This window comes from Homo sapiens, chromosome 4, assembly GCF_000001405.40.
Source record: "Homo sapiens chromosome 4, GRCh38.p14 Primary Assembly".
Lineage (NCBI taxonomy): Eukaryota > Metazoa > Chordata > Mammalia > Primates > Hominidae > Homo > Homo sapiens.
In genome coordinates, this window is record NC_000004.12 from 98,842,005 (window position 1) to 98,858,990 (window position 16,986).

At 38.2% G+C, this 16,986-nt stretch overlaps 1 long non-coding RNA gene across 1 annotated transcript in view; it reads right to left on the reverse strand.

Annotated features, from left to right (window-relative positions):
- LOC105377343 (uncharacterized) overlaps positions 1–16,986 on the reverse strand; it is a 78,644-nt gene that overhangs the window by 58,118 nt on the left and 3,540 nt on the right. The window contains exon 2 of the long non-coding RNA XR_007058196.1: positions 3,399–3,470. This is a non-coding gene — a long non-coding RNA (uncharacterized LOC105377343). The remainder of the gene's footprint in view (positions 1–3,398; positions 3,471–16,986) is intronic.

Below are 16,986 nucleotides of genomic sequence, written 5' to 3' on the forward strand. Positions count from 1 at the left end.
TGTGCAGCCTAGGGACTTGGTGTCCTGTGCCCCAGCCACTCCAGCCATGGCTGAAAGGGGCCAACATACAGCTCGGGCAGTGGCTTCAGAGGGTGGAAGTTCCAGGCCTTGGCAGCTTCCATGTGGTGTTGAGCCTGCAGGTGCACAGAAGCCAAGAATTGAGGTTTGGTAACCTCTGCCTAGATTTCAGAAGATGTGTGGAAACGCCTGGATGCCCAGGCAAAAGCTTGCTGCAGGGCGGGGCCCTCATAAAAAACCTCTGATAGTGCAGTGTGGAAGGGAAATGTGGGGTCAGAGCCCCCACACAGAGTCCCTCCTGGGGCACTACCTAGTGGAGCTGTGAGAAGAGGGCCATCGTCCTCCAGACCCCAGAATGGTAGATCCAACAACAGCTTGCACTGTGTGCATGGAAAAGCCACAGACATTCAATACCAGCCCGTGAAAGCAGCTGGGAGGGAGGCTGTACCCTGCAAAGCCACAGGGGCAGAGCTGCCCAAGACCAAGGGAACTCACATCTTGCATCAGCGTGACCTGGATGTGAGACCTGGAGTCAAAGAGATCATTTTTAAGCTTTAAGATTTGACTACCCCGCTGGATTTCAGGCTTGCATGGGTCCTGTAACCCCTTTGTTTTGGCCAATTTCTCCCATTTGGAAAGGCTGTATTTACCCAATACCTGTATCCTCATTGTACCTAGAAAGTAACTAGCTTGTTTTTGATTTTACAGGCTCATAGGCAGAAGGGATTTGCCTTGAGACCTTGGACTGGGGACTTTTGGGTTAATGCTGAAATGAGTTAAGACTTTGGGGGACTGTTGGGGAAGGCATGATTGGTTTTGAAATGTGCAGACATGAGATTTGGAGCATCCAGGGGCGGAATGATATGGTTGGGCTCTGTCTTCACCCAAATCTCAACTTGAATTGTATCTCCCAGAATTCCCACGTGTTGTGGGAGAGACCTAGGGGGAAGTAATTGAATCACGCGGGACGGTCTTTGGTATGCTATTCTCGTGACAGTGAATAAGTCTCACGAGATCTGATGGGTTTATCAGGGGTTTTCGCTTTTGCTTCTTCCTCATTTTCTCTTGCCGCTGCCATGTAAGAAGTGCCTTTTTCCCCCCGCCCCCACCATGATTCTGAGGCGTCCCCAGCCATGTGGAACTGTAAGTCCAATTAAACCTCTCTTTCTTTCCAGTCTAGGTATGTCTTTATCAGCAGTGTGAAAATGGACTAATACAGTCTTTATCTCAGCTGGAATTACTCTGTGTGTTTGTGATATGAGTTCGGGCTGAAGCTTCTTTTCTTCCACAGCAATGTCTAATTTTTCGTGCATCATTTGTTGGAAAGGCCATCTTTTCCCCCCACTGATAGTGTCATCTTTGTCATGAGTCAGGTGTTCATATATACATGAGTCTATTTCTGGGTTTTCTATTTTATTCCATTGTCTTATTTTCTGATCTTTGCACCAAAAGACTGTATTTTTAAAATTCCTAATACTTAAAAATAAGTCTTGACACTTGGTAGGGCAAGTTCCCTGAAAACTGTTCTTTTTTATTGAGTGTCTTATCTATTCTTAGCCTTTTATTTCCACATAAGTTTAAATCACTGTTAATTTATACACAAAATTTCCATTGCCATTCTGATTAATATTACATTAAATCTATAGCTCTATGGGCAATTTGAGTGAATTGACAGCTTACAGTATTGGATTTTTCATTCCATGAACATGACATATAGCTCCCCTTATTTAAATCTGTTAAAATTTCTTTCAGTAATCTATTTAGCTTCCTGCATAAAGGTCTTTAACATTTTTTTTCATTAGATCTGTTCATTAGACATTTTTTATGCTAATGCTAATATTGCTTATTTTAAATTTTATTTTCTAACTGCTTGTTAATGATATATAAAAATATGATTTATATATTGCTTATGAACCCAGAAACCCTGCTAAATTCTAAGTTCACAATCCTATTATCTGCAAATAATGACAATTTTATTTTTTATCTCATACTCCTGTGCATTGCTATTTTCAGTTTCGTGATCTCTCTAGGACCTCCCATAGAATGTTGAATAGAAGTGGGCAAATTTATCTTTCTCCCATTCTTAAAGGGAAACCTTTTTACTTTCCCTGGTTAAATATAACTTCTGCTGTAAATTTTGGTAGATGCTGTCTGTAAGATTAAGGAAGTTCCCTGCTATTCTTAATTTACTAGCAGTATTTTTAAAATCATGGATGTTGGATTTAGTATAATCCTTTTTCTGCATATATTGAGAAATATTATAATTTTTCTCCACTAATCTATTAATTGGTGAGTTATGTTGGTAAGTTTTCTGATGTTAAGCCAACTTGAAATCCTTACATAAATCCAATTTGGTCATGATATATCATCTTTTTTTTAAGTGAAAGCAAGATTATTAAGAAAGTAAAGGAATAAAAAAATGTCTACTCCATAGGCAGAGCAGTGTCTTGGGGTGCTCAACTGCCTGTACTTATTGTTACTTCTTGATTATATGTTAAACAAGTGGTGGATTATTCTTGAATTTTCCAAGAAAGAGGTAGGTAATTCTGGGAACTGGGGGTTCCTCCCCTTTTTAGACAATATAGGGTAACTTCCTGATGTTGCCATGGCATTTATAAACAGTCATGGTGCTGCTGGGAGTGTCTTTTAGCATGTTAATGCATTATAATTAGCATATAATAAGCAGTGAGAGGGGTCAGAGGTCACTCTCATCACCATCTTGGTTTTGATGGGTTTTAGCTGGCTTCTTTACCACAGCCTGTTTTATCAGCAAGGTCTTTATGACCTGTATCTTGTGCCAACCCCCTATCTCATCCTGTAACTAAGAATGCCTGACCTCCTGGGTGTGCAGCCCAGCAGGTCTCAGCCTTATTTTACCCGGCCCCTATTCAAGATGGAGTTGCTCTGGTTCAAACACCTGTGACATATTTCCCCCTCCCTTTTACAAAACAACCTGTAATCCTAATGGTTGTAGAGGAATGAATACCCATCTTCTGTAACTTCTTCAGGCTGAATGGGGGCAATGATATTCTTGCCTATTAGGGTCTCTCATATTCAGGATAGAGAGGAGCTCGGTCACAAGATATCTGTATGCTGAGGGTCATTCATAACTCTGAGTTCTGACAAAAGGTGGTATCTGGAAGATTAATAAGTGTTCAATTTAAGAAAACATTCAGTAAACTTATCCTGCATTCCTAAACAGAGTACAACAGCAATATTTTCCACAACAGTAAAACAAAATCAGTAAAATTATCCCAAGTAAACTAAATAAGAAGGATTTCCATGAACTGCGCAATTATTGAAACCAAGCTGATATGGGTTTGCTAGCTGATTCCAATATGTGGTCAGAATTAGAATATTGATCCAAATTTTTACATTACCCGTCCTTGTTTCTTCTGAGCTGCAGCCAGAGATCACTTGTCGGTTCACAGGAATAGGCAGTCAGTCTATTGCTGCAAAAAAAAAAAAAGAAACAACTCAAAAACAACTGATGGCATTAGAATCTAATAACAGATATATCATAGTTCTTGAAATAATTTTTTTCTTTTTCCAGTTTCCCATTTTTACTAAAGACAAATTATGGCAAGACTGATTTGCTTTATTATATTTGGCCTGGTTATTCGTATAAAGTGCAGCAAAAATAATTATTTTTTACATAGGCTTTTAAAATGGGCTTTGATGGAACTTTGTTCCATAAAAGGAATCTCAGATAAGACTTTTTCTGAAGTCAAGCCCAGGCCAGGGTTTGTACCCTCAAATACCTAGGAATTGGGCAAATTCCTCTCCTCTTGTTGTCCTAAGATAACTTGGGGCTCCTGTGCCTGTCAGAAAGTAACATTCCTTACTTACTACAGTTAGGAACCCTGTACAGGGACTGTGTAGACAAGATATGGGGCCAGTTTTCAGCTTTTATTGGATCTACAAGTCAAATTTGATTCCTTAAAGGAAAACATACTATTCCAGCCAAAGCCTTGGTAAAATAACTAACTTCTCCAACTGTGAACTGTTGCAAAAGAAAACATTCTTACTGCATTTATGCAAATAACTATATTGCCATAAATTAAGAATACTCACAAATAGTTTCCAAATTCTGGAGAAATCAGTTAGAGAGAAACAAATATACTCCAAAGTTTGTTCACAGGAGTATACTTTGCTCAATTGTTAAAAGCTGTAAATAGTTCAAGAGAAAAGTTTTCTTGGCTCTGATAAACAAAACAAAGGATCAGCAACATTTTAAGCAAAAAGCCAAAAACATTACTTCAGTCTTCTATTAGTTCAGTCCCTGCAGTTAACTCCTGTTCTGCTTGATATTCATGAACATTCCAGCTCTCCAGGAGAGCCCTGAAAGTTTTTTCCTCTATTCTAATGTCACAATCTCCAAAGTTATTAGAAACCTACATTCAAGAGCGCTTGTTTGTTAGAGTTCTATAGTTGATTATAAAACCACCTTTTGAAGAGGATAAAAACAAGACAACAATTATCTGTAGATGACAAAAAGTCTTAGGGCAGCCACTATTAAAGCCACAATTAAATAGGACTTTTGGTTATGTCTGTGTCATACAATAATTGTACATAACAATATAACTGTTATACACTAAGTTATATCAGAATTATAAGTTTCCCATAATTTTAGAACACATACCAATAACATATTTATACAAATACAGCCCAAAGAAAGCCAAACACCATTTCATATTTGATAACACTTCCTGTATGATTTTAATATTCCAAATAAGCCAAATACATCATTTTTGGACTTTAGGGGACTTAATATATAAAAGATTAACTACATAAGAAAAAGACATAATTTATAATTTGATTTTGGAAAGTTTGTCAAATATTAAAGGTTTAAGTACTTGATATTTTAAAATAGAATATGAGGTTACTATAAGCCATTCATTTAGACAAAATGATAACTCAAAATTTTCAAAAAGGAAAACCTTTACTTATTAATAGAGAGAAGACTTAGCTTTCCAAACAGTCTGTCTCTTTTCTTCCCCTTCTTTTTCCTGTAGTTTATTCAAAAGGCAAACAAAAAATTTTCATTTTTTTAATATACCATGAAAATCTTGTTCAAGAGAAAGCCTAAATTTTACCTCTGCATTAAAGCATTATTGATGTCAAACCCAATTCTTAATAAAACCTTATGGACAAATCTATCAAATTTTAATCAGTTTGATCATAAGGTAAGATTCTCATAAACATTTTATAACCCCTTACAATTTTTTTGTTAAAGAGCAGATCATTGCTCTCAGGAAACCCTGTTGTGCTTTTATTCCAATGCTCAATTTATGGAAAAAGTGAATAATGCCTCTGTAACTTTTAGCTAATATGTTCACACACAATTTTTTTACAAGAGTAATTGTTCATAAACCTTTCACAACTTGTTCAAACCTTCAGCTTTTTCCTATCTAACTTGAAACAATCCTTTAACACTTTAGGCAAAAAAGATCCACATTCTCATGATTTCTTATAATCTTTTACCAAAAACACATTTCACTTTCCTTATACACCTAGCGTGTAAAACTGTTTCTTCAATAGCCTCAATTATATGTTATAATGTTAACTCTTAGAAACAATTATTTTTGGACGAAAAAAAAACCTGAGAACTAAGGAATTTTAATTATTTACTAGATGTGGAGCCTAGGACATCAGACAGAAGTGCAGATAAGGTCTGCCTCTTTCCAGCATAGCTAGGGGCATGGCTGACTCCAGATGTGCCCATGCCTTATCTAGAATCTAATGCTCCAAAGTAGTTAAACGGAAAATTTTCAAGAGTCAAAGAAGTTGGTCATGGTGGCTCAGACCTGTAATCCCAGCACTTTGGGAGGCTGAGGCAGGTGGAACAGAACAGAACCTTAGATTTTGAGAGGGATCTATCCACTTTCAATTCCTGGGGTTCCGTGAGGAAAATTTTCCCCAAAACAGGTTTTTCCCAAAACATGATCTTGTGCCTCCTCAGTTCTTCCCAAGAAGTCTCAGGCTATAAGAGCTTGAATATCTGCTTTTAATCAAGCTGACTTTTAACCATAGCGCTCTTATAAAAAAAAAAAAAAAAAGGTCGTTTTAAATCTCTTATTACCTGACTTTAGCCATGCCAAACCACCAATATTTCTGACTTTTGAACTTTACCAAAGGTACCTCCCAGGTGCTCAAAGAAAATTCAAGATGGTTCATGGAGGGGAAGAGAATAAAAAAATGTCAAACGTCACTCAAATATCAACCAGAAAGTACGCATACCCTAAATCAGGATTGAACCTGCCACTGTAAAATGGCAAAGCCTTAGCTGCTGAGCTACAACATTGGGCAGTTTCCATTGCCCGACCCAGAAGGAGTCCAGAGCAGCCAATTATGAGCTTGCAAAGGCTTTTAACTGTTCAAAATAATTTTTAGGGCTAACTATGACAGGAGCCCCAAAATCCCTGTTCTATGGAAGCCAGAGACCAAGAGGAAGTACTGCCACGTGGTTACAAGGTCAAGCTCCCAAGAACACTTTTCAACATGTGGTCTCTGGGCAGGATGAAACAGTGGACAATTGCCCTGAATAACAGAAAAGATAGAAAAGAGAAAGGAAAGGAAGGGAGAAAAGCATTGCCTGCAGCAGAGTGGGGAAGGCAAGGAGTTCAGGGAAGCCAGAGAAAGACACACCCATTACAGTGACACTGAATCAAAAGTTCAGGCAGCTGCTTGTTGGTAGTGAAGGAATCTTTTCCAGCAGTCCCATCAGCTCTTGAGATTCCCTCTTTGGGGAGAAAAAAAGTTCCCCATGTCCCATGATCCTGTACATGCCTAATCCTGTCACCCACAGCCATCAGCAAAGAGTGCAAGGCAGATTAATCCAAAAAGAATAGCAATTAACATCCTGTAGTGCCAAATCCGTTCTTAGCTGAGGTACTTTACTGAGAGGGATCTCTAACCCTCTAAATCTTAGGAAGGACTCTAACCTTCCTAAGTCAGGCCTTGAAGGCAAGTGCAGTCAAGTGTCCTGCCTTTTAAGAGGCACCTTTAACCTACTCTGTCTTAGGAGAGACTTTAACTCTCCTAAGTTGGGCCTCTAACCCAATCCCATCCTTTACCGGGATACCCTACCACTTACCCAAAGTCAGCCAATCAGTGTTGTAGTCTATTTCCTTTGGGTTGGGGGTCTCCTCAGTATAGTCCCTTTGGGGTTTGCAAGGAAAATGTTATTGGAAAGGGGTCCCAATCCAGACCCCAAAGAGAGGGTTCTTGGATCTCATGTAAGAAAGAATTTGAGGCAAATCAGTAGAGTAAATTGAAAGCAAGTTTATTAAGAAAGTAAATTAAAGAATGGCTACTCCACAGGCAGAGCAGCCAGTCATGATACATTATTTTTTAATGTATTGCTGAATTTGTTTTGAAATTATTTTATTTGGCCAGGCGCGGTGGCTCACACCTGTAATCCTAGCACTTTGGGAGGCCGAGGCGGGTGGATCACCTGAGGTCAGGAGTTCGAGACCAGCCCGACCAACATGGAGAAACCCCGTCTCTACTAAAAATACAAAATTAGCCGGGTGTGGAGGCGCATGCCTGTAATCCCAGTTACTCGGGAGGCTGAGGCAGGAGAATCGCTTGAACCCAGGAGGCAGAAGTTGCGGTGAGCCGAAATCGCACCATTGCACTCCAGCCTGGGCGACAAGAGCGAAAACTCCATCTCAAAAAAAAAAAAAAGAAATGATTTTATTTAGCATGTTTGCATCCATGTTCACAAATAAAATCGGCCTTTATTTTTCTTTTCTCATTTTGTCCTTGTTGGATTTTTGTATCAGGATTTTGCTAGACTTATAAAATGATGTGGGAAGTTTTCCTCTTATCTATTCTCTGGAAGAGTTTACAAGATTGAGATAATTTCTGCCTAAATGTTTGGCAGAACTTGTAGTTGATGCCATCTGGGCCTGGATACTTTTGTATGTGTGTGATAGGTTTTTAATTATTAATTCAGTTGCTTTAATAGTAATATGATTTTATTCCTCTTTCTTTCATAGGTTTAGTGAGTTGCATTTTTGTTGAAATTTGTCCCTTTAAATCAAACTTTCAAATGTATTGGCATAAAGTTATAAAAAAAAAAGTTTGTTATCTTTTGAGTGTTTGTAGAATCTGAAGTGACATTTTTCTTTAAATTCCTGATCTTGGGTATTTCGTTTTGCTTTCTTTCTTGATCAGACTGAACAACTTAATCAAATGTATTAATGTTTACAAGGAACCCACTTTTAGTTTGGTTGGTCCTTGCTTTTGTAGATTTGTTTTCTGTTTCATTCATTCTCCTATCTTTTTACCATGCTTTTCCTGAGCTGTAAATTTGTTTTAATTCTCTTATCTTTAACACTCCTTTCTTTTTACTTCTTTTCTAACTTTAAGCATTAAAATGAATGCTTAGCTTATTAGCTTTCAGCCTTTTTATTTTCTAATGTAAAGTTTCCTCTAAATAGTGTTTTAATTGCATCTCACAAGTTGAGGAGCCACTGACAATTTATTCTTCTACTTAAAAAAAAAATATGATTTCCTTATTATGTTGATTTGTCTCCCTCCTCTGGAATATAAACTCAGTGAAGGCAGATATTTTTGTCTATTTTGTTCACTGATTTATCCCCAGAAACTAGTACTATGCCTGGCACACAGTAGGTAATCAAAAAATATTGAAGGAATGAACAACTTAGAAGTTGAGGGCACCTGTAGTTCTAGCTACCTGGGAGGCTGAGGTCAGAGGATCACTTGAGCCCAGGAGTTCCAGACTGCAGTGAGCCATGATTGTGCTATTGCACTCCAGCCTGGGTGACAGAGTGGGACCCTTCTCAAAAAAGAAAGAAGGAGGGAAGGAGGGAGGGACGGAGGGAGGAAGGCAGGAAGGAAGGAAGGAAGGAAGGAAGGAAGGAAGGAAGGAAGGAAGGAAGGAAGGAAGGAAAGAAGGGAGGAAGGAAAGAAGGGAGGAAGGAAGGAAGGAAAGAAGAAAGGAAGGAAGGGAGGGAAGGGAGAGGAGGGGAGGGAGGAAGGAAGGAAGGAGGGGAGGGAGGAAGGATAAAGAAAGAAAGAGAAAGAAAGAGAAAGAGAGAAAGAGAAAGAAGAACAAGAAAAAGAAAGAAAGAGAAAGAAAGAACAAGAAAAAGAAAGAAAGAAAGAAAGAAAAGAAAGAAAGAAAGAAGAAAAGAAAAGAAAAGAAGTGGATGATTGTTGTGAAGAAAACAGAACTGGGTGAGGAAGACTGGGAAACAACATGGAGTTTTTACAATTTGAGGAGTTAGAGTCAAGGTAGAGCTTGATGAGCAATGACTTGAGGAGGAGTGGGAATATGCCATATGGATATCTGGAGGAAAGAGGCTCTAAGCAGAGGAAAAAATGGAAAAGCCTTGAGACTGGAATACTCTAGAAACGTCAAGGAGAACAGAATGGCTGGTGTGGAATGACCAAGGAGGAGATTACTAGGTGATAGGGAAAAAAAGAGGTAAAGAGTGTCAGAGCACATAGAGTCTTTGGGATATGAAAAACTTTGGCTTTTATTATGCGAAATGAGGAGCTATTACAGCGTTTTGAGCATGCATATTGCGTTTTTAAAGGATCATTTTAAAGGATCATTCTGGCTGTGCTGAGAATATAACAGAGAAGGAAGGATAGAAGTAGGAAGACTAGTTAGAAGGTAAGCTAAGACTTATTGAAGTGACTTCAGGCAAAAATTGGAAGAATTAAATTGGATACAACAAGGAAACACAACCTTTTTAAGTTTTGCAGAAAAAAAAAACAGAAATGATTTAAGGAAAGGTTTTATTTTTTAAGACGGTAGCGATAAACAAATATTTGTATACTAATAGAAATGACCCAATAGAGAGCAAAGCATGAGTGGTTCCCAAAACCCAGGATTCTAAACTCTGGGAGAGGAAAAGAATCAGTACAAGAGGGTGAAGGGAGAAGAGCAAGAAAGATACTAGGGCCTGATGGAGAGTGGTCACTGAGACTTTTATGTAAACACTAGCTTCAAATTACAGCTACCGGAAATACCATTCCCCCTGGAAAGTTTCAGAGTAGGGTGGCATATCTCCTCCCCTTCCACATAACCAATGCTACAATTGCAAATCAGGAAAGAATGGTTTCACATAGAAGTGAGAGTGGGTTTGTCAGCCTTTTCTCCAACCTCCATGGGAGAGCTGCTGTGGACCCCAGAGTTCACATTACCACCATTTCTTCCTTGCATTCTTGATTTTATTTTCTGGTAAACTGCATGTGGTTTATCTTAATATTTAAATCCTACCTCCCCACTCCTGCACCATATTCCCTCATCAAGACACGTGCTGTCTGTTCTCTTTATTTTGCAAATCCCATAGCAGAATTAAGTGGGTGGGTTATTTGCCAGCAGATCATTTAGAGAAAGATGTAATCATCTAGATCGGGGTTTCTTGACTTCAGCACTATGACATTTGAGGCTGGATAATTCTTGGTGGTGAGGGGTGCTGTTTGGTGCATTGTGGGATGGTTAGCAGCATTCTTGGCCTCTCCCTACAAGATGCTAGTCACACCTTCCTCCCCACTTTCCCCTCATCCCAATTGTGACCAAAAAAACAAAACAAACAACAACAATAACAACAAAAAAACAGAAGTACTCCAGACATTGCCAAATGTCCCCTAGGGTTCAAAAATTGCTCCCAGTTGAGAACCACTGATTTAGATGTAAATTTTCTCAATTCATTAGCCAGGAGCAGTGGCTCATGCCTGTAATCCCAACACTTTGGGAGGCTGAGGCAGGTGGATCACCTGAGGTCAGGAGTTTGAGACCAGCCTGGCCAACGTGGTGAAACCCCACCTCTACTAAAAACACAAAAATTAGCTGGGCATGGTAACGGGCGCCTGTAGTCCCAGCTACTCGGGCGTCTGAGGCAGGAGGATCACTTGAAGGAGGTGGAGGTTGCAGTGAGCCAAGATTACGCCACTGCACTCCAGCCTGGGCAACAGAGTGAGACTCATCTCAATAAGTAAATAAATAAAATTTCTCAATTCATTATCAACAGATCCTGGTGGTGTCAATAATATACGGAAAGAAGCTGAGGATTTATTAACTATATCTTTATTCTCTGATTTATTTATGTCAAGGATATCAGTGTTAACCTTCCACTTCTTACCACCATTCCAAAATGAATATTATGGACCCTCATTTTAGCAACTGGTACCTTTCTGCACATGATTGGCCTGGGAGAATAAAGGAATGAGTAAAGTCGGACTATGGAAATTTAAAACATCATTGGTGAGATTTTACCATCAGAGGCTCTTCAAAATATTTGCCTCAAGCATCATGGAAGAGACTTTTTTTTCTATCAACTAATTGCTGATAACCTAAAATTGATGTTATCTGCATTGGACCCATTAACATGTATTACTTCGTGAGGTATCAAAAAAAACCACACAGCATCAGAAAAGCTCAATCAAGATTGAAAAAAGATAAATTTGAAGAATTTATGCTACCAGAATTCAAGACTTAGTGCAGAGTTGCAGTAGTTAAGATAGTGTGGGATTGCCACAAGAATATACAAATAGACCAGTGGAAGAGAATAGTCAGAAAAAGACCTGATTTGTGACAGATATCAGTGCAACTCTGTAAGGGAATGAATAGCTTTTTAATAATTGGTATTGGAACAATTGAATTTATAGGACAAAATGAAACTTGACCCCTCCCAATCATACTTTGCCCAAAATTAATTTGAGATGTATCACAGTATCAAGTGTATAAAATACAACAATAAAGCATTTAAAACAAGAGAACATCTTCAAGACAGTCCTAAATAGAACACTAACCATAAAAGACTAGCTTCATTAAAATTAAAATTAAAATTCATCAAAAGACAGAACTAAATATGTCAACAGGCTGGGCATGGTGGCTCACATCTGTAATCCCAGCACTTTGGGAGGTCAAGGTGGGAGGATCACTTGAGGTCAGGAGTTTGAGACCAGACTGGGCAACAAAGCAAGACTCCATCTCTACATCTAAACTATATTTAAAATTAGAATTAAAAAAGCAAACCACAAACTTAGAGATTTCCATGGCATATATATCCAACAAAGGCTCGTATCCAAAACAGCAAGAAAATGACAAATAATCCAATTTTTTTAAATGGGAAAAAGACCTGAACAGGTCTGTCACAAAATAGGCTATTCAGGTAGCCAACAAGAATATGCAAAGGTGTTGAATATAATTATTTTTCATAGAAATAATAATTGAAACTACAATGAGGCCGGGTGCAGTGGCTCATGCCTGTAACCCCAGCACTTGGGGAAGCTGAGGCAGGTGGATCACTTGAGGCCAGGAGTTTGAGACCAGTCTGGGTGACCTGGTGAAACCCCATCTCTACTAAAAGTACAAAAAATTAGACGAGTGTGGTGGTGGGCACCTGTAGTCCCAGATACTCAGGAGGCTGAGACAGGAGAATCACCTGAACTCGGGAGGCAGAGGTTGCAATGAGCTGAGATGGTGCAACTGCACTCCAGCCTGGGCAACAGCACAATACTCTGCTAAAAAAAAATCTACAATGAGATAACTCACCTACCATATGGTTAAAATTAAAAAGACTGCCAATATAAGATATTAATGTTGCTATGAAGCAACAATTGGAACCTTCGTTTATTGCTGATAAAATAAAAAATTAGCCAGGCGTGGTGGCGCATGTCTGTAATCCCAGCTACTCAGGAGGCTGAGGCAGGAGAATCGCTTGAACCCGGGAGGCAGAGGTTGCGGTTAGCCGAGATTGCGCATTGCACTCCAGCCTGGGCAACAAGAGCAAAACTCCGTCCCAACAAAAAAAAAAAAAAAAAAAAAAAAGATAACTTTGTTCAACCACTTTGGAAAATGGTTTGGCAATAAAAAAATTGATGGCACTATGTGCTAAAACAAAACAGTTCTATTTCTAGACACATACCCAAGAGATGAATGCACATGTCCACCAAAATATATCTTTAAGAATGTTCACAGCAGCGTAATTCATAATACTAAAAAACTAGAAGCCACTCAAATGTCCCTCTGTAGAATGAATCAGTTATGTTATGGTCTTACAATGGAATAGTACAGAGTAATTTTAAAAAATCAAAAACCTTGATGCTTGCAACAAAATAGATTAATACTATAGACACTGTATTAAGTGAAAGAGGTCACAACAGTGCATACTGGATGATGCATTTATATGAAGTTTGAGATCAGGCAAAACTAATGAATAATGACAGAAGTCAGAATAGTGATTATTAAGGGTGGTATTGACTAGGATGGAACATGAGGAAACCTGAGGAGACAGAAATGTTCTATAGATGTACATGGATGATAGTTTCATGGATCCTCTAGAAAGTGCAGATCACTCTTCTGAGGCATTTTGCTGTAAAGCAGAGAATGAAGGCAGTGGCTGGCAGAGCAAACAACAATAAGAAAAACAAAAACAGGTTCTATAGGAGCAGAGGTGAGACCAGGATACCTGTGAGTCATTGTCTACGTGAGCAGATGAAATGGGAGCCTAGGGAGTTTTCTTCCGATTGCCTCCATTTTCTCAGAGAATTAGGAAGCAAAAATCATCAGAGTGAGGACAAAGGAAGTGACTTGGAAGTATGGGGAAACAGCAGCAGGAGATAATTAGAACAGGAACGCAGTGAATGGACCAGGGATATATACGACACTCATGAGGTAGGTTCAGGGCAGGGAAGTTCATGTGGGTGGGTTTCTCTCCAGTTATGTTCTGCTGCACAGAGCACAGGCACTTCTTTGAGAGGAGACTTGGATTTAACCAGCCTTGCAGTTTTACTATAGGGTAAACATAAATTTTGTGCGTGAGATAATATATACCTAGGAACCTTATTTTTACCAATTGGGGCATCATCAGATCTAGGTTCTTTCAGTGCACAAAACTAGGAAATTATTTAAATATATTTGAAGAAGTTCATGTTGACATTTATAATTCATATTTAAGACTACAGTGATCTTTCTGAACTTTTGATGTGATATTTGCAGCTCTTTTCTCTGGCAGTGAAAATCTTGGTTGATAATTACAATACTGATATTACTATCAGCAATAAAACTACCTAGCAAAGTTTAAGTTGAGTTCCTTTTTTTCTTAGAATATATCCTATTAAGGATGTACAAGTGGAGTACTATATTCAACAGTCACTTGGAATCATTACTTTCTCTGTATGGATCATAACAATATGAAATAAAAACAGGTTCTTTAATTGTTTGAATTAAATTTGGATGTTTGCTTTTTACACTTCTAAATTAATTTTTAAAACATTTAAAACACACTGGTAAGAAGAAAATCAAAACTATAGAAAAGGTTATATTCAGAGAAGTCTTGCTTCTATCCTTGTCCTCTCCTCATCCCCTCTTCATTCCTTATAGGTGACCATTTCTTACTCTGAAAGCTGGTAGTTTAAAGAGAGGAATTAAACTCTGAGGACAAACCAAAATTTATCTGCAGCTGATGAGTGAAAATTATTCTTTCTGACTGAGAAAAAAATGTGTTAATAAATGAAGAGGAATTTACTTGGAAAATCTTTCTGCAAATCTCAGTAAAGTAATTCAGACAAGGATGCTAAGACCATTAGATATAACATTGTTGGAGAAGAAAATATTGGCGCAGAACCAAAGTATCACCCCATTCTGAAGCTGAGTTCAAAACAAACAAACAAAAACAAAGTACCACCCCACAGATTACTTGCTTGTTGCAAAGGAAAAACATATCACTACAATGGAGAGATCTCATATTATCATCCTAGCCAGGTGATCAAGCTTGACATTATGTGCTTACTGATGGGAAGCAATATGCCATACACAGCACCAGCCATGAAAATAAATATTTTCAAAAATATTTAACATGATTCTAGTCAAGCAACTAGGCTGAACTTCCAGTTTAGAACTGGGAGAGGATAGAGGAATAAGTTTAAAAATCTGGAGTGTGGATCATCCCACAAAACAACTGATCTTGTTTCTTCAAATAGGCAGTGTCATGGGGAAAAAATAGCAGAGCTGTCTAAATAAGACTAGATTTTTAAAAGACACAATGATACAAATAACAAAATATTCATACCTGGTACCCAAAGTGCAACACTGTGCAATATTAACCAACTCTTAAATGTATGTATAAATAGTTGTAGAAGTAATATGTGAAATGTGCTACTGATTTTTTACACTGGCAACAAGGTGGACATTAAACATTAGAATTGCAGAGGTTTATTTATATAAACCATTTAATAACATTTTATTAAATTTTCAAAAATTAAAGTTTTATTTAAATTTTTATTTAAAATTGAGACAATTATATTTATATTTGTTTTTAAAAATAATTTTGAATATTTTAAAAGACAACTTTTTTGAAAACATGAAAATAATTTTTAATATTTACTTAACTTTTCATTTTCAATGAAATGTATGTACATATTATACATTTGAAATACATTTTTTATATTTTATATTACTGCCAACAGAACACAAATAATGAGAAAATTCATTTACAGGCAGAGGCAGGAAGACTGCTTGAGCCCAGGAATTAGAGGCTGTAGTGAGCTATGATTGCACCACTGCACTCCAGCCTGGTCACAGAGCAAGACCCTGTCTCTAAAAATACACACACACACACACACACACACACACACACACACACACAGAATTAAATTAATGATTTTGCTAGGATGAAAGCAAGACAAAACTGAGAAAGTTTCTTGGAATGAAGATTTGAAAAGACAAGAAGAGATGGCTGGGCATGGTGGCTCACGCCTGTAATCCCAGCACTTTGGGAGGCTGAGGCGGGCGGATCACCTGAGGTTGGCAGTTCGAGACCAGCCTGACCAACATGGAGAAACCCCGTGTCTACCAAAAATACAAAATTAGCCGGGTGTGGTGGTGCATGCCTGTAATCCCAGCTACTCAGGACGCTGAGGCAGGAGAACTGCTTGAACCCGGGAGGCGGAGGTTGCCGTGAGCAGAGATCGCGTCATTGCACTCCAGCCTGGGCAACAAGAGCGAAACTCCATCTCAAAAATAAAAGAAAAGACAAGAAGAGATAAAAACAATGGAAGAATAGCCAAATATATAGATAACAGAATCAAAATAAGCAGAGTTCCTGAAAAAGATATCTGAACAAAATGAATATTAACCAAAGATACGTTTTCATCACTCACTCAAACATTGCTGCTAAACACCTGAATAAGTGCAATAATTGTCATCTTTGATATTTTGTACTGTGTCATATACAAACCACAATGTTACATATCTTTCTTAATATCATTATAATGAAAAGTTATTTGCCGAAGTAAGAAGATGGAATATATTTGAAGTTTGCTAGCTTGATTCAAATATTATATTTTATTTTTTATTTTCTCTTTGTTTTTCTTTGAGACAGTGTCTCACTCAGTCACCCAGGCTGGAGTGCAGTGGCACAATCACATCTCACTGCAGCCTCAACCTACCAGGGCTCATGTGATCCTCCCACGTCAGCCTCCTTTGCAGCTGGGACTAGAGGACTGTGCCACCACACCCGACTGATTTTTTTGTAAAGACAGGGCCTCACTTTGTTGCCCAAGCTGGTCTCAAACTCCTGGGCTCAAGTGATCCTCCCGCCTCAGCCTCCTAAAGTGCTAGGATTATAGGTATGAGCCACTGTGCTCAGCCAATTCAAGTATTTTAAATAGTTAGACATATTATATGTGGATCTTCATTTGAACTCTTGCCTTGGGCCCTACAGCTGCAAACATTAGGGGGTGGGCCTGAATGCAATTTTTAAATGCCAAGAATAATTAAGCAATATCTATAAAGTTTTCAAAGAAAAACATTGCAACCAAAGGATTTTAAATTATTTATACCTATTCAAGTTTCCTTTAACATGTAAGAGAAATGAAAGAATATTTCAGATATTCAAAGGCTGAAAAATATACCATCTATGAATCCTTCTTGGAAAAATTATATAAAGACCAAACATCCCAAAATACAGAGCTCAAGATTAG